At 53.2% G+C, this 24929-nt stretch overlaps 1 protein-coding gene across 8 annotated transcripts in view, besides 2 other annotated features; it reads left to right on the top strand.

The window, feature by feature from the left end:
* INCENP (inner centromere protein) overlaps window positions 1–23676 on the top strand; it is a 29159-nt gene extending 5483 nt beyond the window's left edge. The window contains exons 4-19 of one of the 8 annotated variants that reach the window (XM_011544995.4): window positions 289–1097; window positions 8339–8390; window positions 9220–9277; window positions 9395–9512; window positions 10741–10792; window positions 11211–11328; window positions 11420–11551; window positions 12007–12018; window positions 15489–15598; window positions 15676–15796; window positions 16136–16270; window positions 17165–17409; window positions 18983–19061; window positions 19246–19386; window positions 20564–20714; window positions 22269–23676. In XM_011544995.4, coding sequence (XP_011543297.1) covers window positions 289–1097; window positions 8339–8390; window positions 9220–9277; window positions 9395–9512; window positions 10741–10792; window positions 11211–11328; window positions 11420–11551; window positions 12007–12018; window positions 15489–15598; window positions 15676–15796; window positions 16136–16270; window positions 17165–17409; window positions 18983–19061; window positions 19246–19386; window positions 20564–20714; window positions 22269–22483 — 2548 coding nt within the window. In that variant the 3' untranslated portion in view covers window positions 22484–23676. The remainder of the gene's footprint in view (window positions 1–288; window positions 1098–8338; window positions 8391–9219; window positions 9278–9394; window positions 9513–10740; window positions 10793–11210; window positions 11329–11419; window positions 11552–12006; window positions 12019–15488; window positions 15599–15675; window positions 15797–16135; window positions 16271–17164; window positions 17410–18982; window positions 19062–19245; window positions 19387–20563; window positions 20715–22268) is intronic. The other 7 variants (XM_006718533.4, XM_011544996.4, NM_001040694.2 and 4 more) reach the window with 7 other exon arrangements.
* Window positions 398–899: an enhancer, noted in NCBI's record as "H3K4me1 hESC enhancer chr11:61897363-61897864 (GRCh37/hg19 assembly coordinates)". NCBI's record gives its function as "activates a minimal SCP1, AML or CMV promoter by ChIP-STARR-seq in naive H9 embryonic stem cells {active_cell/tissue: H9 hESC(naive)}" and the evidence as "EXISTENCE:reporter gene assay evidence [ECO:0000049][PMID:30033119]".
* Window positions 15990–16151: a silencer, noted in NCBI's record as "fragment chr11:61912955-61913116 (GRCh37/hg19 assembly coordinates)". NCBI's record gives its function as "represses an EF-1alpha promoter that drives an FKBP-Casp9 reporter gene in an ReSE screen in HepG2 liver carcinoma cells {active_cell/tissue: HepG2}" and the evidence as "EXISTENCE:reporter gene assay evidence [ECO:0000049][PMID:32094911]".
* Window positions 23677–24929: the final 1253 nt, after the last annotated feature.

Here is a 24929-nt window from a genome sequence, read left to right on the forward strand (position 1 = left end):
TCGGTGTGGTGTAACTTCAGTCAGCCGGAGGTTTGGATGAATATAATCTTCCTAGCCAGTTCTGTGCGGACTGTGGCATGATCCCCAATTTACAGTTAGGAAGACTGCGGCTCAGACAAGAATGGCCTGGGGCCTCATGGCTAGAGGTGGCAGAATCTGGCCTGGAACCCAGATCTTTTGCCTTCACCTTCTCTTATCATACTCTATCCAAGCTGGTGGCTCTTGGAGAGACTGGGTGCCACCCTGTCCTGCTGCCCGTCTCAGCCTCTGCCCTGCTGCCCCTGCCAGGTTATCCCGCAGAAAGTCTCGGAGCAGCCAGCTGAGCTCCCGACGCCTCCGCAGCAAGGACAGTGTAGAGAAGCTGGCTACAGTGGTCGGGGAGAACGGCTCCGTCCTGCGGCGTGTGACCCGTGCTGCGGCTGCAGCTGCCGCGGCTACCATGGCATTGGCTGCACCTTCTTCACCCACCCCTGAGTCTCCCACGATGCTGACTAAGAAGCCCGAGGATAACCACACCCAGTGCCAGCTGGTGCCTGTGGTGGAGATCGGCATCAGTGAGCGCCAGAATGCTGAGCAGCATGTCACCCAGCTCATGTCCACCGAGCCTCTGCCCCGCACTCTGTCCCCGACTCCAGCTTCAGCCACAGCTCCAACCTCCCAGGGCATCCCGACATCAGATGAGGAATCAACACCTAAGAAGTCGAAGGCCAGGATACTGGAGTCCATCACAGTGAGCTCCCTGATGGCTACACCCCAGGACCCCAAGGGTCAAGGGGTCGGGACGGGGCGGTCTGCGTCTAAGCTCAGGATTGCGCAGGTCTCCCCTGGCCCACGGGACTCGCCAGCCTTTCCAGATTCTCCATGGCGGGAGCGGGTGCTGGCTCCCATCCTGCCGGATAACTTCTCCACGCCCACGGGCTCTCGCACGGACTCTCAATCGGTGCGGCACAGCCCGATCGCCCCGTCTTCCCCGAGTCCCCAAGTCTTAGCCCAGAAGTACTCTCTGGTGGCCAAACAGGAAAGTGTTGTCCGCAGGGCGAGCAGAAGGCTTGCCAAGAAGACTGCCGAAGAGCCAGCTGCCTCTGGCCGCATCATCTGTGAGTCTGGGGGCTTGGCAGTGGCGGGTGGTCCTTGGTGCCAGGCTCAGATGGAGGCTTTCTGAGGGATCATCTAGCAAGGAGCTGTCCAGAGAGCTTTCTGCAGTGAGGTAGATGTTACACATCTGTGCTGTCCTGGGATGGTGGCCGCTAGCTGGCCTCATCTGGCGATTGTGTCCTCAAAATGTGGCTAGTGTGATTGAGGAACTGAATTTTAAATTGTATTGCATTCTACTTCTTTTAGATTTAAATAGTTACATGTAGCTAGTGGCTTCCACGTTGGATGGTGCAGGTCTGACCCAACCTACTTGCTTTACAAGTGAGGAAACTGAGCTTCGGGAAGGTCGGCCACTGTGTGGCTGTGGTTACTGGCCATGTTGAGGCTGGAGCCTGGGCCTCTTCCGCAGGGCCAGCTCATTCCTCCCAACCCTATGCTGCAGAGGCCACTTAAATTCACCGGGTTTGCGCGCCGCCTATTGGCGACACTGTGTTTGATCTGGAGGAGGGAATTATGGCAGCAGGCTCCTTCGGGGAGATCAGATGACTGGGCATCTGATGGGAGCCAGGAGGGGGAACCAAGCTGACTCTGGAGCTGGCCGGCCTGGGTCTGAGTGCCAACTCAGCCATTCACCCACCCTGCAGCCTGGGGCAGGTCCTGGAAACTTCACGGGCCTCCACTCCTTGCCTGTCAACTGGGGCTAATCGCGTCACTTCAAAGGGTCGTTGTGAGGTTTTCTTTGGTCACCCCACACAGGGAGTTTAGAAGGGTGCCTGGCATATAGGAAGGACTCGGTAATGTTAGCTGCTCTCTCAGATCTCAGCTTAGGGGGCCATTGCCCACTGGAGCAGGTGTCTGGAGGGGCAGGCTGGCTGCATGAGGAGGTGAATCTGAGCTGGGAGGGTTCTGAAGGATGGCTGCGCTTTTGCTGAGTGGAAAAAAAATGCGGGGATATGTGTTATTGGCAGAGGGAACAGCTTGTACGAAGACCCTGATGCCTAAAGCAACAAGTGATGGGTGTCTGGGGCTCATGCTCACACAAGAGCTTGAACTTGACCCCACTGAAGCAAAAGAAGTGGCTTGATGATGGGAAAGTGAGGGAAACAGGGAGACCAGATAGGAGGCTGCTGTAAGGATGCAGGCAGAGGACGGGCAAAGCAGCGGATTGGTGGCGAGGATAGGCCAGGATTTATCTTTTTTTTTTTTTGATACAGAGTCTCGCTCTGTTGCCCAGGCTGGAGTGCAATGGCACGATCTCGGCTCACTGCAACCTCTGCATGCATCTCAGGTTCAAGCAATTCTCCTGCCTCAGTCTCCCGAGTAGCAGGGATTACAAGCGCCCGCCATCACACCAGGCTAATTTTTGTGTTTTTGTTTTTTAGTAGAGATGGGGTTTCACCATGTTGGCCAGGCTGGTTTCGAACTCCTGACCTCAAGTGATTCACCCGCCTTAGCCTCCCAAAGTGCCGGGATTACAAGTGTGAGCTACTGCGCCCAGCCCAGGTTTTATCTCAACGCATGTTAAATAGTAGCTGGCATCTGCCTGGCACTTTAAGATTTATAAAATGAAAGGTTATTTCATTTGGTCCTTACAGCAGCATTGTTAGCTTGTGAGGAATTTTTCACTTTACAGAGGAGGAAACTGAGGCTTAAGGAGGCCATGGAGTCTGTAAATCGGGAAGCTGGGGCTTGAGCGCTGTGTGTTTCATTCTGTCCAGAAAGTCAGGTGCTTGCAGAAGAGGCTTTGTGCAAGGCCGCAGGGCAGGGCCTGTCAGGCAGGGGAGGGCACCTCACCTTGGCAGCTTTCTCTCTGCCTGAGTCACACTGCCTGGGGACGGGCCTGCTCCAGGGTTTGGGGTGACATACTCTGGGGCGTGTGCAGATGTGCAGTCTGCCACACTGTCTATTTCTGGATTCTCAGAAGGATCTAAATGGTTCTGATCTGTTTTGGAGATTTTCTCAGGCCTGGATCTGATCTTGGGAAGGGGCTTCAAGCGGGGGCAGGTGAGCCTGGGCCTGTAGAGGGAGGGCCAGGCAGGGTTGCAGAGAATCTCTGGAGACCTTTGGAGCAGACATCCAGATCTGCAGCTCTCATGCCCTTCCATCACTCTTCCCTCTCTGTCTACCCTTTCCCTGCCCATGAATGGGCTTCTGATTTGACTGGTGCATGTTACCTGGGTCTGTCTGACTCCCAGCCCAGCATCATCTCTCCTCTTGAGGGGGTGGAGGAGAGAGAGGAGGATACAGGATCTAGGATCTGGAGTCACACAGACCCTGGGTGACCTTGGGCACACCCCTTCTCTCAACCTCAGCTTTTCTGTGAAATGGTGATAACACTTGCTTTGAATGTGAATAGATAACTCATCTTAGTGCTTGAGTGTAGTGGATACTCAGTACATCTTATTTGAGAAAACTCACCAATGGCTGATGCTCAGTTTGGGTGCGACAAGGCCGACCCCTAGTGAGGAGCTGCAAGGGTGTCAGGGAGTGGGGCGGTGACAGGGGAGGAGGCTTCCTGGGGGTCTTCCTGATACCAGGCTCTGGGAGAGGCTCTCGGGCAGCTCCAAGGTGGGGTCTTGGTTTGGGTGTTCCCCACGAGCAGCCCTTGACACAAGGATTTGAGTTCAATTTGTTAATTTTTGGGAAATTAACAAATTTAATTTCCCAAAAATTAAATTCGGGATGGGAAGGAAACACCTGCACCAGAGGAATGGAAAAATGAGATAGGAAAAAAAGCCAGCAGTCAGCGTGGGTGGAGGGGGCTTCTGGAAGCCAGAGTGTGGCCCCGGGGCGTGGAACTGCTGTGTGTCAGCAGGAATCCCCTGCCTCCTGGCCTGGTGCGCACGTGCCTGCGGGGCCCATCGGGCAGCAGTTCTGAAGTGGATAGGAAGGGACAGGCCCACTGCCTCAGGACTCCACCTTGGGGCGTTCGAGCCACCTCTGCATTGGAGAACAGTCCTTCCATCCCTCTGCCAGTGCTTAGGCCACTTCCCTACCACCAGACCAGCTCTGAGGCCTGAATGTCGTGCAGATGGCACTTAGCATTCCAGAGAATGCTTGTGCTGGTGGGAGAGCCATGTAGTCACATGGGCGTCTTCATCAGGGAGCACGTGAGCTGGGATGACACAGCATGGGGAGATGAGGAGGATGTATCTTCTGGGTATAAACCCCTTAAATGGGGGTCATCACCACCCATGACTGTCAGCCCGGCGCTGCAGCTGCTCCCACCACCTCCCCAAACCTGGCTGCTATACCCAGGAAGGGTCCTGGCTTCCCTTCTCTGTGCCTGGCCTGCTGTCTTCCCTCTTTTCCTGAGACCCTGTGCACCCCAACCTCCCGCTGGCCACCTCCCAGCCTGAACTCTGACCAAGCCCCCATGGCTCAGGATGCGCCAGCTCAGCTACCTTCTCTCTGTTCCCCAAAAAAGCCTCTTTTTTTCCTGCCTCATGGCCTTGGCCCTCCTTCTCCCTAGACCAGTGGCACTGGGAACAGGCATGCTCCCAGCTAGGAAGAAGCCGGGGACATAAAGCTAGCAGCTGTGGTGAGGATACCAGGGTGAGTGCTGAGGGTGAGGGACCTGGGCTTCCTGTTTTTAATGATTAAGCCTCAGCCTCAAAAAGCTTTTGACAGCCTGGACAACATGGCCAGACCCTATCTCTACCAAAATGGAAAAAATTAGCCAGGTATGGTGGCATGTGCCTGTAGTCCCAGCTACTCAGGAGGCTGAGGTGGGAGGATTGCTTGAACCCAGGAGGTCGAGGCTGCACTGAGCTGAGATTGTGCCACTGCACTCCAGACAGAGTGAGACTCTGTTAAAAAAAAAAAAAAAAAAGCTTTGATTATGAGGTTATATCTATTGATCGTTACTGTATTAAAAATTAAAACTGAGGAGTTTAAAAGTATTTTAAATATTAATATTTTTATATGAATATTTAGTACTTTAAAGATTTAAAAATATTGTTTAATATTTTAACATTATAAAATGCAAGTACCAAGCCTATCACCTGTTTACATTAAGACTTTTTATGAAAAAATAACTTTTCCAAAACAAAAATGTACTGAAGACACTGGCATTATTCTACATTTTGCAAATCTCTTTATTGTATGACTTTAAATAAGCCACATTCTGCGTTTGATCTGTTGTTGCATTGTGTTGTTTGGGTTAAAGTAACTGAAGAACTGGACGGGCGAGGTGGCTCACACCTGTAATCCCAGCACATTGGGAGGCCGAGGTGGGCAGATCATGAGGTTAAGAGATTGAGACTGTCTTGGCCAACATGGTGAAACCCTGTCTCTACTGAAAATACAAAAAATTATCTGGGCGTGGTGGCACGTGCCTGTAGTCCCAGCTACTCAGGAAGCTGAGGCAGGAGGATTGCTTGAAACCGGGAGGTGGAGGTTACAGTGAGCTGAATTCACGCCACTTCACTCCAGCCTGGGTGATACAGTGAGACTCTGTCTCAAAAAAAAAAAGTAGCTAAAGAACATCTGGCCTCACATAGACGTGTAGTTGGGAAAGGGAGGAGTATCTTCATAGCTTTTTCAGATAATTATGCATATTCTTTGTTATCAGGACCAGCGCAAGAAGTGGTAGTTCTTAAAGGTTTGTTGTGGTGTGGAATCTGAAACCATGTTGCTGATTCCACACGGGTCTACCTTGCACTTTGTTTTGTTTTTTTTTGTTTTGTTTTGTTTTTGAGATGAAATCTCACTCTGTCGCCCAGGCTGGAGTGCAGTGGTGCGATCTCAGCTCACTGCAACCTCTGCCTCCCGGTTCAAGTGATTCTCTTGCCTCAGCCTCCCGAGTAGCTGGGATTACAGGTGCCCACCGACGCCCGGATAATTTTTGTCTTTTCAGTAGAGACGGGGTTTCACCATGTTGCCAGGCTGGTCTCAAACTCCTGACCTCAAATCATCCGTCTGCCTCGGCTTCCCAAAGTGCTGGGATTACAGGCGTGAGCCACCACAACTGGCCACACTTTGAATGGATCTTTTAGATGTGTCTGATTTCATAACCACATACATCGATCATTTCGAAAATATTGTTTCACCAAGTTATGCACGTCTTCCAAGTGTTGACACCCTTCATTATATAATATCCTAAAAAAGCACATTTGTTTTCTGACCTCATCAGAAAAGTCCTTAGATATTAGGATGCTGTGACCCTGCTGGTGGTGGATACGCGCTTTTCAAAATTCTACTCTTGGATTCGTTTTGGCTCAATTTTTTTTTTCTTTTTGAGATGGAGTCTTGCTCTGTTGCCCAGGCTGGAGTGCAGTGGCACAATCTCAGCTCACTGCAAGCTCCGCCTCCCGGGTTCACGCCATTCTCCTGCCTCAGCCTCCCGAGTAGCTGGGACTACAGGCGCCCACCACTACGCCCGGCTAATTTTTTGTATTTCTACTAGAGACGGGGTTTCACCGTGGTCTCGATCTCCTGACCTAGTGATCCGCCCGCCTCGGCCTCCCAAAGTGCTGGGATTACAGGCGTGAGCCACCGCACCCGGCCTTGGCCCAATTTTTAAATTATTGTCAGCACGTGGTGTTTTATTTTTGTGATGGATTCACTTCATTGACTTGTGAAAAAATGTCTTCCAGATACCCAAGACTGAATAACCATTGTCAGTCGTTCTTTTAATTAATAATAGTGGTTCAGGTGAAAAAGTGGCTAGTGCAGCTGGCAGCTTAGAGACGAGCGCTTTTCACAGAGAGTTGGGTTTGCAGCAACAGGCATTGTGCACACTTCCCACCTCAGCACACAGAAGAGTAGAATGGCATGTACTTGAGTTTAGATTTAGTAAAATTAGGACTTTTGCAGGCGCAGTGGCTCACGCCTGTAATCCCAGCACTTTGGGAGGCTGAGGCAGGTGGTTCACTTGAGGACGAGTTCAAGACCAGCCTGGCCAACATAGCGAAACCCTATCTCTACTAAAAATATAAAAAATTAGCTGGGTGTGATGGTACATGCCTGTAATTCCAGCTACTTGGGAGGCTGAGGCACCAGAATCCCTTGAACCCATGAGGTGGAGGTTGCAGTGAGCTGAGATTGCGCCACTGCATTCAGCCTGAGTGACAGAGTGAGAGTCTGTCTCAAAAAAAGAAAAAAAATTAGTACTTTTTACACCTTCATCAAGGACATTCCTCAGTGAAACTGGACATCTCTCCTTCCCGTGAGTGTGTGGTCCGAGGATAGTGTTTGATGCTCTGGCCTTGACTGGGGCTGAGGCTTCAGCAGCTAGTTCCTCATTGCTTTTGTGCCATCAGGGCAAATGTCAACATAGTGAAAGGGAAAGTAACATTTTAGTATCATAATTTTAGTATCATGATTAGTTACGACCTCGTGGATCCCCCATGGGTCTCAAGGACGTCCAAGGGTCAGAGGATGCAAGCTGAGAACCACTGGCCTGGACATCCTCCTCCTTTGTAAACTCCTCCAGGCCAGCTCAGGTCCCCCCATCATAGGCTTTTAAAATTCTCTGCTCTGGACCAGGCGCAGTGGCTCACGCCTGTAATCCCAGCACTTTGGGAGGCCGAGGCGGGTGGATCACTTGAGGTCAGGAGTTCGAGACCAGACTGGCCAACATGGTGAAACCCTGTCTCTATTAAAAATACAAAAATTAGCCGGAAGTCGCTTGAACCCAGGAGGCAGTGGTTGCAGTGAGCTGAGATTGTTCCACTACACACCAGCCTGGGCAACAGAGCAAGACTCCGTCTCAAAAAAAAGAAAAAAAATTTCTCTGCTCTGTTCCACCATTGCCCATGCTGGTGTTGTTGATAGGACTATTTGATGATTGTTATCTAGACCAGATGGTGGTTCTGTTTTGCTCACCATTGGGGTCCTGGGGCCTGGCCCAGGTCCCAGTACACTGTAGACACTTGATGAATATTTGTTGACAGAATAAGCTGCTTTGTGTTGGGCCCCATGCTGGGAGTTTGGGGCCTGGAGCTGCAGCAAACATTGTCCCTCTTCTCGAGATATTCCCAGCCCAGTGAAGGTGCCCAGCCGTGCTCTCAGATGGGCATGGGAAGACCATCTGGGAAGCAGCCGGGGACATGAAGCCAGCAGCTCCGATAAGGACACTAGTATGAGTGCTGAGGGGAGGGTCCTGGGCATGGTGGGGGCTCCACGGCTAGTGATGGGAGCAGTGGCCAGGCCCTTGCTGGAACCCGGTCCCCTGGACCCCTTAGAGTGGGACCTGTGTGGTCTCTGATGAGATCTTTTGTGCCTTTCTTTTCCCCCTCAGGTCACAGTTACCTGGAGAGGCTCCTGAATGTTGAGGTGCCCCAGAAAGTTGGGTGAGTTCAGTTCCAGGGCTTCGGAGGTAGGCAGGGCATACCAGGACAGGGAGCCAAGGTGAGCACCAGGGCTGGAAGCAATTCCTGGGCTGAGTCTTCCCCACTGAGCCTTGACCGCCCAGGAGCTGCCCCGTTTTCCCTGTCTGACCAGGCAGTGAGTGATGTGGGTGTTGGCCACCTGGTCTCCTTGCAGCACCCGTCAGCGTTGCTGGTTGCCTGGCTAGACCTGACCCTGGGGCGTGGGCTCCAGAGGTTGGGGGTGAGGCGGGGCTGCCAGGAAGAGCTACATTCAAACTGGCTGGGGTAGGATAGGAGTGCTCCAGGATTACACCCAGTGCTGCTTCGGGCCAGGACACAGACTCCTTTTCCTGGAGGCCGTGTCCTGCCATCACTAAAACCAGCCCCCTCCCTCCTTGCTGCAGAGCAGAGGGTTTGTTCTTGGGACGGGGAAACAGGGTGACAGGGCAGACCTGCTGGCCTTGCCAGCCCCATGGTGAATAGAGAACAGACCACAAAAGAGATGCAGCTCACCTGGGCCCAAGAGGTGGAGGCGGAGCTGAGGACAGGGCTCACATCCTGAGACAGCTCTGTGGTGGGGTGCCAGGGAGATGAAGCCACATTCTGAAGCTGACATCCCTCGTCTGTCCATGGAGCCATTGCCGGGAGCTGCCATCCTCCTATCCTACAGGGGGCTGTGGGTTCGTGGCCCTGGCCAGGGCACCTTGTGTTGACCTCTTGGGTCCCCATCCCTGGAATGGTAGAGGGACTCCCTAGGGGGAGGGCTTGGACTAGCTGGGCAGTCCCCTCAGAGTCCCTCTTCTGTTTTCAGTTCTGAGCAGAAGGAACCCCCCGAGGAGGCTGAGCCTGTGGCGGCAGCTGAGCCAGAGGTAAGACGGCTGCCTGGGGAAGGGAGGACTCACCTCTGGGGCTCCCGCTCTGCACTACGGCCATCCTGGGCCTTGGGTTCCAGGTCAAGACCCCTAAAGCCTTGGTTCTTTCCACAGGTCCCTGAGAACAATGGAAATAACTCGTGGCCCCACAATGACACGGAGATTGCCAACAGCACACCCAACCCGAAGCCTGCAGCCAGCAGCCCGGAAACACCCTCTGCAGGGCAGCAAGGTGAGGCTTCCTGACCTGCCGTGTGCAGTGCCCGGAGCCACAGCGGGCCTTGGCGGCCTCGGCCTGACCTTCTCTCTGGGGATAAGGAAGCCCCATTTTCTGGGCCAGTAGGCTAAAGAGAAATTAAACCTGGGGGTGCAGAGATCCCTTTTGAGTCTGTAGACTTCACCTCCCACCGTTGGGCTGGAGCTGTCACTGAGTGCAGCATGGGGGGCTGTGGCTGGTTGGGACAGGAAGCAGAGGAAGGGGCTGCATCGGGGTATGGATATGAAGAGGCCAGGTCAAGGCCTTGACCTTGACTCCAGGGGCCAGTGGGAAGAGCTGTGGGCTGGGGATTGAACACCCCACCTGGCCTCCTGCTTTGCCTCCCCCGCCAGCTCCTTTCTGACCTTTGTATGTCCATCCTTGTCTAAAGAGGGCTGGAGAGCAGTGGGTTTGGGAGTGTCCCAGGGTCCTGCTCACATCTCCCTGAGAAGGGTGCCTCTCTCTGGTGGAAAGTGCACTGTAGCTGTGAGATCTTGAACACGGCCTCCTCCTCTTTACGACGTGGTCAGGGACAATGGTCATGCCAGCCCTGCAGCCCCAAGGGCTGCTGTGAGGAACTTTTGGAGTAAGGTGCACCTTCTCCTAGCAGTGAAACAAAACAATACTGACCCTACACCCTCCATGTTGACCCTGCAGCGGGAGCTGCCCCCTCCTGCTGTCAGGGCCACACCAGCTGCATGGCCCAGGAGGGGTGGAATTTAGAAGCTGTGCAAGGGGCTTGGAGCTCCTGCTTCTACAAGGCGTCCACACACTGTTCTTCGTGTCAGAGGTGGGTGGGGCACGTCTGGGGCTGCCGCCTCGACAGGACCGTCCCGCCCTGCCTTGCCTATCATAGAGCCAGGCACTCGCGGGGAGGTGTTCGTGAGCTGGGGGTAGCCAGGCCCTGGCATCTGTAGATTTGTATTTTTAGTAGAGGCCGGGTTTCACTATGTTGGCCAGGCTGGTGCTGAACTCCTGACCTCAAGGATCCGCCCACCTTGGCCTCCCAAAGTGCTTGTAGATTCCTCAAGGCTAGTCAGGGTTAAGGCTGATATGTCTGCGTTTGGCCACCCCGGAGCTGCCAGGAAGGGAGCCTTGCCCACTGCCAAGGCTGCTGCCCAAGGACCCCTTCCCCCTACACCCCCATTCCCACCCTGCCGCCGCCATCGTTTCTGCAGCCTTGCTGAAATTGCTGTCTTCACAGAGGCCAAGACGGACCAAGCAGATGGACCCAGAGAGCCACCGCAGAGTGCCAGGTTTGCATCCGGGAAGGGGTGTGTAGGTAACTCTGAGGGCCCTGGAGGATGTGGCCTTGTGTCCTTGCTCAGGGAAGGTGGATGTGTGCTCAGGGGCTTCAGAGCCTCTCTGCTGGGGTGTGGCCTGGTGTTGTGACTTAACCAAGGAGGCAGCTCCATGCTGTGGATGAGCGCAAACCTGGGAATAGGGCGACCCGATTGTTGACCCCGTCTTAGTGTGGTCTCCTGGCCATGTGACCTTGGACTGTTCACCTCCCTTCCTCTGAGTGGGCAGCAGAGGGTTGCTTAGGCTCTGCAGCCTCTTTCAGTCTAGAGGCCTGTGGCCTGGGCCCGGTATTGTTCACCGGGGTGACTTTTGATGGGGTGTGGCTGGGCTGTGGCGGGCTGCCCTGTGATGCCGCCGCCCGCGCCTTGGCAGGAGGAAGCGCAGCTACAAGCAGGCCGTGAGTGAGCTGGACGAGGAGCAGCACCTGGAGGATGAGGAGCTGCAGCCCCCCAGGAGCAAGACCCCTTCCTCACCCTGCCCAGCCAGCAAGGTGAGCCAGGCACCTGCCCTCTCCTGGAGCCCTGACCCCCTTCAGTACCCTGCCCCGCCTGCCCACTTCTGACCCTGGTCCTCGTCTGCAGGTGGTACGGCCCCTCCGGACCTTTCTGCACACAGTGCAGAGGAACCAGATGCTCATGACCCCGACCTCAGCCCCACGCAGCGTCATGAAGTCCTTTATTAAGCGCAACACTCCCCTGCGCATGGACCCCAAGGTGAGGGGCCTGTGCCCAGGCCGGGCTTTGTGGGAGCTGGGCAGTGTGGCTGAAGGTCCAGTCTGTCCTGTAAGATACTGGGAGTAGTGTGAGCCTGGGCGGAGGCAAGTGTGGCCTGGCACTGTTAGGGGCCGGTTGAAGCCTCTGTGGCCACCGGCTGTCTTGACCTCTGAGGGCACTGTCCTGCACTTGACCTTGTGGGCTCTGGACTACAGCCTGGAGGCTTGGCCGGCTCAATGTGAGCCCTGGGGATCTGTGTAGTTAAGGTGAGAGGTACTTGTGGACACCTCCACCACTGGGGTGAGGGTTGGGTGACAGGAGAGGCGGTGGGGGTGCTGCTGGCAGGAGGGCAGGCCCCACGCAGGCTTGCTGGCACAGCTGGGCATGTGGCCTGCCCGGCAGGATGCTCCCCGGCCTGGCATTAACTCTTGCCTTTTCCCTTGTCTCCTCCACAGTGCAGCTTCGTCGTAAGTAAAGCCTTTTCCTGTCGGTAACCTCGCCCCACCTAGCACTCACCCGCTGTAGCCCCTTCCCTGCGTAGCTGACAGCACCTGTAGATGCACTAACATTGTAAGCGGGAGGGGAGCCTTAGGAAGAGAGTGGGACGGTGAGGGGTGCACTGGCTGGAGGCGCCCAGCAGTTCTGGGCCCCAGCGTCCTTCTCTGCCCTCCCTGCCCTTGACTCTGCTCTTAGGAGGAAGCAAGGGGGTGTGGCTTTTCACCAGGGCTACAGCTTGATGTGTTCTCCACAGCCACCTTCCCTCCCTCCTCCCCTGCACCAGGCCCCGTCAGGGTCTGTGGGTCTTTGAAGAGAACAGACAGGTTGTCTGTGGTCCCCAGAGCTACTGAGATTTATTGGTTCACAGACCTGAGCAGTAGCCTTGAGGCAGTGGGGTGATGGGGGAGCGCAAGTGTGGGTCTGAACTGAGGTGGAAGTGCTGGGTCTTGCTGTGCTGGGTGACAGTAGAACAGTGGGTGGTAGCGTCTAGAAACAAGTCGCAGAAGCTGTTCTCTTCTCAGACACCTCAGAGCTGAGCCGAGCCAGGCAGGCCCTGAGCAAGGACCCTCAGATGGGGACATGCTTAGCCTGCAGCCCCAGCTCCCTGTGCCATTTGCCAAGGCCACAGACACCTCATTCCTTTAGTTCCTGCAAGCCTTCTGAAGGGTCCTCTGCAGCCACACAGGGACACCTGTGACAGCCGGGAGGGCTTCTGCCTCCAGTTGAGGGCCTCGGCAGGTGAGAGGGGCTTCCCAGCAGCTGGCCAGGTGGGCCCTGAGCTGGCTTCTCCGCATGGAGGCCTGTTCCCCTCTTGTTGGAGAGGGTGACTGACAGTATACCTTCCAGTGGCCTTACCACCTGTGCCGATTAGAGCCCTGCAGGTCTCACAGGGTGATAGAGAAGACCAGGAAGTGGTCCCCTTTCCTGCTTTGGGGATCCCAGGTCCCTGCACAAAGCATCTAGTGGGTGGGGACAGTCCATAGTTAGGAGACCAGGGGGCTACGGAGTCATTTTGGACTGCATCCTGAACATTCTGCTATGAGTCTCTGGGTCTTGTTTAAATCTATGGACAATGTTGATATTTTCTCAGCATTGCAATTTAGTAGCAATTGACCTGGTTAGGTTTAGGCTGCAGGTTCCCATCTGCCTTCTGTGGACTCTGGTTCCAATGTTAGTCCCGATTTTGAAGATGGCAGTGCTGTTTGGACTTTTCCCGGGTGTGTGCCAGTCAGCAGTCAGCCTGGGACTTGGCAGGTGGTCTGTTAGTTTAGTTCTCAGCCTTCGGTGTGGTAATTAGGATCAGATCCTAGCATCTGCAGCTTAGAGCTGAGCCTGGGCGTTCGTCAATAACCTGCAGCATCATTTTCCCGATCTCCTCTGGGGCTCCCTTTTCTGTCCTCCAGCCAGGAAGCTGGGGCTTCAGTTACCTTGTTCTGCTTTGTGTGCTTCTACGACTGTGTCCAGGGCCACCTGCCAGGGGGACAGGGAAAGAACAACACATAGGATTTGGCCACACTTTTGGGATCACAGCTCCTCCTCTGAGTTTTGACTTGGCAGCTTTCTCTGTCCAGGGTCGCCTGGCAGGGGGACAGACAGAAGAGCAACACACAGGGTTTGGCCCACACTTTTGGGATCACAGCTCCTCCCTCGAATTTTGACTTGGCAGCTTTTCTTCAACTGCTGCTGCCCCTGGTTGCCATAGGACTGCTTGTGGGCTGGGGCACAAGGCAAAGAAGAAAAGAGAACAAACAAAAATGGGATTTCTGCCTTCTCTGAGCATTAGATACTCCCTTTCTGCTGCTTGAGTCAGGACTAGAGGGCTTGTCCTGGAATTCTTTCTGTCCGTGCCCCAGTGACTCCTTTGGAGTTCCAGGCTGTGTTGAGTTAGGCTGGAGAAAAACAATGGAGAACTCACTGCTGGTTGGCTGGTGCTTCCAAGTCTGGTCTTCTTCCCTATCTGCCTGCTCCTCTTTAGTTTTCAGAGGCCTCAAGTAGCCGCTCCTTGCATTCTGTCCAGGTTTTGTAGCTGCATTCAGTGGGAGAGAGAGGTGGAGTATGTCCACTCCATCTTACCCGTTCCCGGGACCCCTTCTCTCCGTCTTTGGGAGGATGGTATTACCTTGGAGCCAGATTTCTAGGCGAGAGTGCTCCTCCAGTTAGGCTCAGAAGCCAAGGAGAAATCGATAGTAACCAGTACAGGAAGAGGGGGAAGCTATTGGACACTGTGCCTAAAGGTGGGAGTCTACTGGGAGCCAGGTTGGGGTGATGGGTGTGGGGCTTCCCTCTGGGTCCCAGCCTCCACCCAGCCCCAGACTGTTCAAGGGGAAAGCACTAGCCTTGTCCTTGGCCAGGGAGGGCTTAGAGCCCCTGCCCATCCCTGCTGGCTGCCCATTGCTGTGGCTGTGCCCCTGGGACTTTCTGTGTCTGCCCAGGAGGGGGTGCCAGCATCAATCAGCTTTTCAGCCAACTAGTACTTTTTTAAAGTTGCCTTAAAAATGAACATAGCCAGCTGGGTGTGGTAGCTCACACCTGTAATCCTAGCACTTTGGAAGGCCAAGGCAGGCGGATCCCTTGAGGTCAGGAGTTCAGCACCAGCCTGGCCAACATAGTGAAACCCCACCTCTACTAGAAATACAAAAATTAGCTGGGTGTGGTGGCACATGCCTGTAGCTCCAGCTACTCGCGAGGCTGAGGCACGAGAATTGCTTGAACCTGGGAGGTGGAGGGTGCAGTGAGCCGAGATCGCGCCATTGCACTCCAGCCTGGGTGACAGAGCAGACTCTGTCTCCACACAAAAAAAAAAAAAGAAAAAAAAGTGCATAGCCATGTCACAGGAAGTTTGGAAAATAAAAGAAAATTAATACCATCCCTAATCCATCTCACTAGACTGTTAGCATTTGTCAATATTTCCTTTTATTTTTTTCAACTATTATGAAATAGTTGATATACACAATAGAATATATGTATACATATAGTATGGATATTATAAAGCATGACAGTAGTAAGTTAAACCTTGCATCTGCACCACCCCCTTACTAGAACATTCACCATGATTGGGAGAGCTGCCTTTCTGCTCCTCACCCTTCCAAGCTCATCCTTCATTTTCTTTTTCAATGCACAGTTTATGTAGTTGTCATTAGCACATAAATCCTATTTGGAGCCTGACTTTTGTGTTGCCCAAAACTTGGCAGGGCTCAATGGAGGGCACTGTGGCTCAGGCCCTTGCGAGGTAGCTGAGTGCTCCTGGGAGGAAAGGCGGGAGCTGCGGGCCTTGGCTTGGGTGCTGTTGGGGCCACGTTGGGGATACCTCTGCCTAAGAAGCATTCTGATGCTGCCACCCACGTGGCTGCAGGCTGCTGGGGACTGTGGGCAGCTTTTGGGGCTGGGTGGGGGGTCGTCCTTGCTCATGTCCCATCTCCCTCGCTCCCCGCCACCCCAGGAGAAGGAGCGGCAGCGCCTGGAGAATCTGCGGCGGAAGGAGGAGGCCGAGCAGCTGCGCAGGCAGAAGGTGGAGGAGGACAAGCGGCGGCGGCTGGAGGAGGTGAAGCTGTAAGTGGCCTGGCTTCCTGGACTGTGGCCCATCCCAGCCTTGGTGGGGCTCCCCATGACTATCCTATGCCCCGCAGGAAGCGTGAGGAACGCCTCCGCAAGGTGCTGCAGGCCCGCGAGCGGGTGGAGCAGATGAAGGAGGAGAAGAAGAAGCAGATTGAGCAGAAGTTTGCTCAGATCGACGAGAAGACTGAGAAGGTGGGAGCCTGGGCTGTGGAGGCCCAGGCAATTCAGGACTTGGGCCAAGGGTTAGGACTGGACCCCTCAGGAAATTGCAGATTTGTCACTGTACCCCTGTACCCATCTCCTGTCTGCCCCATGGGCCCTGGAGTCCACTCAGCTCTGGGTTTCCCTGGCAGCCCTTTGTGAGTGGGGTCTGACACTCAGGCAGGACCGGCTTCTGGTGTCCTCTCCCTGGGTGGTGGGAACAAGCCAGGTGTGCAGGGGCAGGTGGGGCCTGTCACACACAGTTCTGGGCTCCACTCTGCAGGATTGAATGTGGGTGCTCCAATGGGCATGTGTGGGTGGGCTCTGCAGGCCAAGGAGGAGCGGCTGGCAGAGGAGAAGGCCAAGAAAAAGGCGGCGGCCAAGAAGATGGAGGAGGTGGAAGCACGCAGGAAGCAGGAAGAGGAGGCACGTAGGCTCAGGTGGCTGCAGCAGGTGCGAGCACAGGTGGGCCTCAGGGAGGAGGTGGGCGGGGTGGGCGCTGTCTCAGCACCATGGGGCCCTACTGGGTGCACCCCACCTTGTGGGGTTGACCCAGACCATCTTGTTGCTTCATGCTAAGAAGGAGGTTTCCCAGAAGTCTCCAGGGCGGGGATGGTGACCAGAATCTGCCTCTCCTGTAGCAGCAGTAATTTGAGGGTTAAGTGCTTGTACTTGGAGCCAGACTGCCTATCTCAGCTCTGCCATTTATTAGCTGTGTGACTTTCTACAGGCTGCTTGACCTCTCTGCTTCCATGTCTTCAAGTAGCAGTGAGGGTTAAATGTGTTAATGTCTGTAAAATGCTCAGTAGTGTCTGATGCCTGCTAAGAGTTCTATACAATTGCTGTTATGGTCCACCCCCTGACTGTTCTGCCTATAAGAGTAAGGGCCCACCTCTTCCCAGCCAGTCTTAGGACTCTAGAGAAGGCAAATCCACCATTAGGGGTTATGTGACTAGTCACCAAGGTCAGTTATTTACTGTGTGCTAGGCCCTGCTGTGTGTTGTGCGTATCAACCCAGCAACCCCATGAAGTGTAGGAATAACTGCAGTCTCCATTTTATAGACGAGGAAACAGGCCAGAGGGTTTAAATGCTTGCCCGTTGTTTCATAGCTAGCGAGTTTGGCTCCGAGGTTCCTTTCTGCTAAATCTACAGCAGCAGCAGCTGTCACAAGATGCCTTTTCAGGCTGCTGCTGGTGGTTCTGGCAGAGCCTTGCTCGGGATGTCCCACGGCGCCATTCCTGGGTTGTCCGTGGTGGTGGCTGATATGAGGGGCACCTGGGCTTCGGGGGAGTAGGGCTGCTGTCCTGCCTCTCTGGCCTGGGCCTGGCCGCAGCACCTGACCTTGCTCTCTGTTTCAGGAGGAGGAAGAGCGGCGGCACCAAGAGCTGCTGCAGAAGAAGAAGGAAGAGGAGCAGGAGCGGCTGCGGAAGGCGGCCGAGGCTAAGCGGCTGGCAGAGCAGCGGGAGCAGGAGCGGCGGGAGCAGGAGCGGCGCGAGCAGGAGCGGCGCGAGCAGGAGCGGCGGGAGCAGGAGCGGCGCGAGCAGGAGCGACAGCTGGCAGAGCAGGAGCGTCGGCGGGAGCAGGAGCGGCTCCAGGCCGAGAGGTGAGGGACCTGCTGGCCCGCCTGCCTGCCTTCCATGTGTGTGGAAGAGAGACGGTGTGAACCTTGCCTGGACACAGCCCCACCTGCATGTGACGGTTTGCAGGTGCTTTCCTTGGCACCAAACCCAGAGGCCCACCTGAATACACTGCCCATTGGCTATGGGAGATCCAAGGAGTGATAGGTGGGCTTGCTTAGGGCTTGGCTTGGTTCTGCCTCCAGCTGCATGTGCTGACCTCTTAGGTGTCTTTTTGTAACTGTCAGGAGTGTGGTGCTCAGAGGATGAGCTGATATTTCTCAGCAGGGCCACCATGGGCATTTTGGGCAGGAAAGATCTTTGTGTTACATTGCAGGATGTTTGGCATCCTTGGCCCCTGTCCCCACTAAATGCATCTCCCCTGGTGAGGACGATAACTCAGATTACCCCCTACCGATATTTTCAGACTGTTCCCCTGCCTTGGGAACCGTGGACCCAGGAGCCCTGGGATTTTCCAGCTGTGCAGATGCAGTGGTCTCTGTACAATAGACAAGAGTTCCATGTTTAGTTTTACAGGCATTTGTCCCTGGCCTACCCTGTGCCTGGTTGTTCTGAGAGTCGTGGGGTTGCCAAGGAGGAAAAGCCACACTCACTGTTGGTCAGGAGATACATGGGATCCTGTGTCTGTGTGCACAGAAGTAGAGCACAAGGCCCGTGTGTGTGAGACATGCAGGCCCCGTAGCTGTTCCCTCTCCCGCTCTACCTCCTGGGAAACACCGGGCAGCACGTTTTTTCCGTGTCCATCTTCGTGGGTGGCTTCAGGTTTATCAGATAAGTGAAGAGTCACAGCCAGGGGGCTGCACTGAGTCAGGGCTGCTTGATGGGGACAAAGCTGTCCTTGGTCCTCTGGGCAGAGTCTGGGAAGGCGAGAAGGCGTAGGGTGTAGCTAATGTGCAGGGTGCTGGGCAGAGCAGGGGGCTTTGAGGGTGGCGGTGTGATAGTCATAGTGTCGGCAGCTTTGGTGGGTACCCGAGCTGCATGCTTTACACCTGTTTCCTTGTTTAGTCCTCAGTTGAAGCCCATGGTGGCATGGGAGCCATCAGCTCCACTTCACACAGGGGGAAACAGGTCCAGAGAGGTTAAATGACATGTTCAAAGTCATGAGCCAGTGTGTTGTGGAGGTGACTCCAGAACTCATCCACAGCCTCTTGTTCATGCTTGGAGCCAGTGTCTGCCCTGAAGGTTAGGATAAAAAGGGGTATTGTGGATTATCCCATTTGATTCTCATGTTGACCCTGGAGGAAATGTGTTATGGTCTCCATTGTATAAAAGTGTTATGAGGCTCAGAGACCCAAGTTACAAGGAAAAGTGGGGGCCAAATGTTGGGCTCCAGCTTGTGTTCCCTGCACCCTCAGGTGTGCACACTTCTAGCCCCGGGGCAAAAGCGCAGCTCTTGGCTCTAAGCTGGTTGCCCATTCAGCAATCCCACTTTCTAAGGTGTGTCCTACTGGCTGGGCCTGGTTTCCCCAGCAGGGATGGGAACAGGGCTTGGGCTGGGCCTCCACTTCCTGTCCTAACAGGCTCTTGCTGGGTCCTCAGGGAGCTGCAGGAGCGGGAGAAGGCCCTGCGGCTGCAGAAGGAGCAGCTGCAGAGGGAACTGGAGGAGAAGAAGAAGAAGGTGAGGGGAGCTGGGTTGCGGGCTCCCCTGGGGTCTGCCCTGAGCTGTGGGCGGGTCTGGACTCCTGCAGCAGGGGCTGCCTAGGGAGGGGAGGGAAAGGGAGGAGAATGGAGCGGAGGGAAGGGGAGGGGAGGGAAGGGCACCTGCACAGCTCCCTAACACCCCATTGCCACCTGGGTTCCAGGAAGAGCAGCAGCGTCTGGCTGAGCGGCAGCTGCAGGAGGAGCAAGAGAAGAAAGCCAAGGAGGCAGCAGGGGCCAGCAAGGCCCTGAATGTGACTGTGGACGTGCAGGTGCCACCTGGGCCCCAGTGGAGAGGCTCTCAGGTGGAGGGGCCCACTCTATTCTCTTCCCAGTAGCTAGAGGCACAGGCTGTGTTAGGCCCCTAAGGAAAAGGACAGATACACTTGGCCCAATTGTTTTTACTTCTTTTTATATTCTTTGTTATTCTAAAAGTAGAATTTGTTGAGGTGGGGGATAAAAAGGAACTAAACTTTATAGAAGAGTATACAGTTTTAAAAAAAGGGACCCTCAGGAAAACTCTACTAAGCGCGTTGTATATCCTTCTAGATTTTTACTTATGTAACCCTTTTAACACACACACAGATATCCTCTCTCTCTCTCTCTCTCTTTCACCCATACACATACATATTTAAAATGGGCACATACCATTTGGTGGCTTGATTTCCAGGCCCCCAACCCCCATGGTTTTTTTTCACTTAGTATATTATAGACATCTGTCTATTTCAACACAGGTCAATTTCTTAGTTTTGATGGCTGTGTACCTTAATTGTGCTGGAATTCAGCCGGCTCCTCTTGATGAGCATTTGATCTATTTTCACTTCACTGCTGTTACCAAACAAAACAATGTTTTCATTGCAGCATTGTTAAGATGTGGAAAACTTGGAAGTTAGTATGGTATCTGTCAATGATGGATGGTTACGTTGCAAATCCTGGAGTCTCCTTAGTGGTTCCCAGGAGGATTCTAGACACACTGACCTGGAAGAAAGTTTGCAATACACCTTAGCATCAAAAAAGGAGATACAGAGTCGTGTGTGTTCTGTGACTTTTTAAAATTAAAAAGTAGGCCTGGTGCAGTGGTTCTCGCCTGTAATCCCAGCATATTGGGAGGCCAAGGGGACAGATTACTTGAGGTCAGGAGTTCGAGACCAGCCTGGTCAACATAGTGAAACCCAGTCTCTACTAAACATACAAAAAATTGGCCGGGTGTGGTGGTGCACACCTGTAATCCAGCTACTTGGGAAAGCTGAGGCATGAGAATCTCTTGAACCTGGGAGGCGGAGGTTGCAGTGAGCCGAGATCACACCACTGCACTCCAGCCTGGGCGACAGTGAGATTCTGTCTCAAAAAAAAAGAAAAAGTGATCCTGCACCTTTTGTTTCTCCTGTGAAATAGGAGGAGGTGAGCAGTGCCCCAGCACTCCTCGGTGGTGAGAGATGGGAATGCCATGGAGGGAACTGACGGCCACGTTTGTTTTTGCAGTCTCCAGCTTGTACCTCATATCAGATGACTCCGCAAGGGCACAGGGCCCCTCCCAAGATCAACCCAGATAACTACGGGATGGATCTGAATAGCGACGACTCCACCGATGATGAGGCCCATCCCCGGAAGCCCATCCCCACCTGGGCCCGAGGTAAGCAAAGCCCACAGCTCCCTGGGAGACTCAGGCCCTCCCTGGTCCTCACCTTGAGGGCCCTGGAAGTAGTGGGTTGGCTGCTGCGGTGTTGGGAGGCTGCCGTGTGCTTCAGTTGGCAGTTCGAGGCTCTAGCCTTGGGTATGCATGTGCCCTGGGGAGTGTGGGGCACCCTGTGGTCATTGTGCTTTCCTGAGGACCAGACCTATGAGGTTGGGTTCCTTTGTTCTCAACAAATATATGAAATTGTGCTGGGCTTGGGCATGGCATATGCTGCTGGGTGTCCTGACTTGGACTAGGCCCTTCCTTAGAGTCCCATCCAGCAGGGCTGAAGAGACTTGGACCTAAGTAAGCCACCTGGGGCAGAGGCAGAGCTAGAATGGGGAAGGGTTTAGGCAGAACACCAAGCTGGAGCCTGGGGCTTCCAGCCAGCTCGGGGAGGCAGGAAAGTCCTTGAGGAGTGCATGAGGCACTTGAGCAGGATCTGACCTGGAGTTTACAGGCCCCAGCATTAAACCAGAATGTGGGTGAGCGTGACTGCAATGTCTCAGGCCTGAGTGCAAGGCCAGCTTGAGTGAGCAGGGTAGGTGCTAGAAGTGGGTGCTGCCAGAGTGGATGGGGCCCGTGGGTACCATGGGTGCCTTGCAGTGGTTGCTGAGCCGGAAGTCAGGGAGGGGTGCAGACGCCCCAGAGGGAAGGGCCTGGAATCCCATAGCTGGTAGGCACACTACAGAAACTTGTTTTTGTGAGTTTCACCTCATCTGAACCCTACAGTAACTGGCATGTGCTTTAAGCCTCTTAACTACTAGTGTCAAGTCATTTGGGAGATGGCAGTGAGCAGGAGCCAGCTCGCTTGCAAAGCCATCTAATCGGAGGTGACTTTGAACAGCTTACTTAAATAGTTTCCTCATCCGTGAAAGGGGGGTGAAGACAAGACCCAGCTGAGGAGTTCTGTTGAGAGTGACATGAGTGAGCTCACGGCTGGCCCTTAGAGCCGCACCTGGTGCTGAGCAAGTGCTGGTGCATGTCTGGCCTCCTGATCCCCTGGGTCTTCCTCAGCCCCGTTGTCAGGACTGTGCCTTCCCACATCCACTGCCCAGAGGCCCCCTCAGCACTGCACCAGGGCCTGTGGGGTCTGTGAGAAGCAGCTGGCCAAGGTGGTCAAGGATGGCATCCTATGCTTAAGCTCTGGAACTGGGCTTGTCTTCAAACACAGGCTCTGCCATTATTAGCTGTATGCCTTTGGGCAAATCTGCTGAATGGGAGAATACAGAACCTGCCTCCCAGGTGGTGGTCGGGACAGGTTCAAGGAGTGCCTGGCTCATGCGAGCTCTCAAGGACTTTGTAAGGTTAAGCTGCCAGAGGAAGGTTGGAAGGATGTGACACAAGGGCGTTCTCTGGGTTTGATGGTGGTACAGGCAGGGGCAGGGCTGAAGAGGGTGACAGAGCTCTCTGTAGGGAGGTTGGAGAGGGTGACAGGGCTCTGTGGTGGGCAAGGGATGGGGAGGTTCATGGAGAGCCCCAAGGCAGTGTCTGGTCTGTGGTCTCCTGCAGGCACCCCGCTCAGCCAGGCTATCATTCACCAGTACTACCACCCACCGAACCTTCTGGAGCTCTTTGGAACCATTCTCCCACTGGACTTGGAGGATATCTTCAAGAAGAGCAAGCCCCGCTATCACAAGCGCACCAGCTCTGCTGTCTGGAACTCACCGCCCCTGCAGGGCGCCAGGGTCCCCAGCAGCCTGGCCTACAGCCTGAAGAAGCACTGAGGCTGGCCTGCGGCCTTCTTGGCAGCCTCGCCTCCTGTCCATGTCTATCTGTCTGTCTGTCGGTCTCTGTCTTGGTCTGTTGCCCTCCTTCTTGGCATGCCATTGTGGAGGGCTTGGCCAGGTGTATATAAACGTCCTCTGTGCTGGGTGTTTCTGCTGCAGGTGGCAGGTGGCCCCAGGCCTGTTTGGAGGATGGGCTGGGTGGGTGGGTGGGGAAGAAATGGGCCCAGCCCCACATGGCCTGCAGACAGTGCTCTGTAAATAGTTGTTTTAATTTAGCTGAATGTTAGCATTTTAGTCTTTGGCATTTTAGCGTTTGGGAGGTAGATTAATAAAGTATATTCCTTCAAGCCTGCTGTTGATACCATGAAGACTGGGCGCCTCAGTCCCAGCCCTGTAGCTGTGTGTCTTGGGCCACCAGTGGCCTGCAGGACGAAGGTACTGTTCCATCACCTGCGGTGTGCCTCAGGATCACCAGGTGCAGGCCCCCACCCTCGGAGATGCTGCTGCAGTGAGTGGTTCCACTGCCTGGATAACCCTTGAGGAACACGTCAGTTACTGTCACGATGGGGCAGGTGGAGCTCCTTCCTATTTTTTGGGGTGCTCCCTGTTTGTAAAGGGGAGTTTGTTCATTGGGAAAGACCTGGGTCTTGACACGGCCCTGCCACTTAGTCCCCTACCCTCTCCATTCCCCAGGCTCCACCCGTGCTGCTCAGGTGCAAATGGACTTGAGAGCATCTATGTGCTGGTGAAGCATGAGGTCTGAGTAGAAAAGGGGTATCCCTTGAGACCACCTTGGGACCAGTGCTTGCAAGCAGCGAGATATTTCCCCAGCAAAACCAGGCAGCTGCTAATTAAATGCTTAGAACCAATGAAAGCTGGCTGTGGTCCTGCCTGTGAGCTGCCTACTGCTGCCTTCTGAATGCATATATCTGCTACTGTAGCCCCGGGTTGTCAAACTATGGCCTGTGGGCCAAATCCAGCCACAGTCGGTTCTTTAAAGTTTTATCGAAACACAAGCAATGGAAATGCCCATTTCCATTGTTGTCTCCAGTTGCTCTGCTCCGAGGGCAGTGTTAAGTTGTGCAGCAGAGGCCCCTCCATGCAAAGCTGAATATGTTTACTATTTGAACTTTTTCAGAAGTTCTGCTTAAGGACAAAATAAAGCCTAAATCCAAGAACACTTTTAAAAATGAGGAAATAGTGAACACAATAGACGGAAGTCTGGAAGTTTCTACCCATGCCAAGAAAAGCATTTTATGTTTTGTTCACATATGTTGTGCAATTCAAATTTTTTTCCCTATATTCTCTGACTAGACACTTGTACTGAGTCAATTGGCGAGTGTGTCTGTCTAAAAGCACAATATCAAAATATCACTTAAAGCATCTTTACATAGTGTGTTTAAGAAAAAGTTGTTATTCAGCAGAAAGGTAATTCCAATTGGTCTGCATATTTATCAGCACTTGGTATTGTCTGTTTCTTATTTTAGCCATTCTGATAGGTGTGTACTGATATCTAATCATGGCTTTAATTTGAATTTCCCTAATGGCTGATGGTGAACATCTTTTCATGTGCATTTCTGTCATCTGTATGTCTTTGGTGAAGAGTCTTCAAATCTTTTGTTCATCTTAAAATTGGATTGTTATATTACCATTGGGTTTAAGAATCTACATATTATGGATACAAATATGTTGTCAGATATGTGTTTTGCAGCATTTTCTCCCAGTCTGTAGCTTGTCTTTAAAAAAAAAATTTTTTTTTTTTTTTTTTTTTTTTTTTAGAGATGGGATCTTGCTACGTTGGCCAGGCTGGTCTCGAACTCCTGGCCTGAAGTGATCCTTCTGCCTTGGCCTCCCAAAATGCTGAGATTGTAGGCATGAGCCGCCATGCCTAGCCCAGCTTGTCTTTTTGTTTACTTACCAGTGTTTTTCAGAGAACAAAAATTTTAATTTGATGAAGTCCAATTAATTAAATTTTTAAAATAGAGTGTGATTTTTTTGTCATGTCTAAGAAACTATTGTCTAGTCCTAGGTCCTAATTCTCCTTTGTTTTCTTCTAAATGTTTTATTATTTTACATGTTAACGTTTAGATTTATGATCTATTTTAAGTTTTTTTTAAGTATGAGGTTTATGTTTTTTGTTTGTGTTTAGGAGCATATGGATGGATGTCTAGTTGTTCCAGCACCATTTGTTGGAAAGACTATCCTTTCTCTGCTGAATTTCTTTTATATCTTTGTCAGGAATTAGCCATATTGGTATGGGTCTATTTCTAGACTTTTTATTTTCTCCCATTGATCTGTACATCTCTCCTTTTGCCAATACCACATAAGTCAAGATGACTATAGCTTTGTAATAAGTATTAAAATCTGGTAATATAATTCTTCCAATTTTATTTTTCTTTTAAAATTATTTTGACTATTGTATCAGTGTTACCTTTCCATTTAA

The sequence above is a fragment of the Homo sapiens genome, chromosome 11, assembly GCF_000001405.40.
Source record: "Homo sapiens chromosome 11, GRCh38.p14 Primary Assembly".
Classification (NCBI taxonomy): Eukaryota; Metazoa; Chordata; class Mammalia; order Primates; family Hominidae; genus Homo; species Homo sapiens.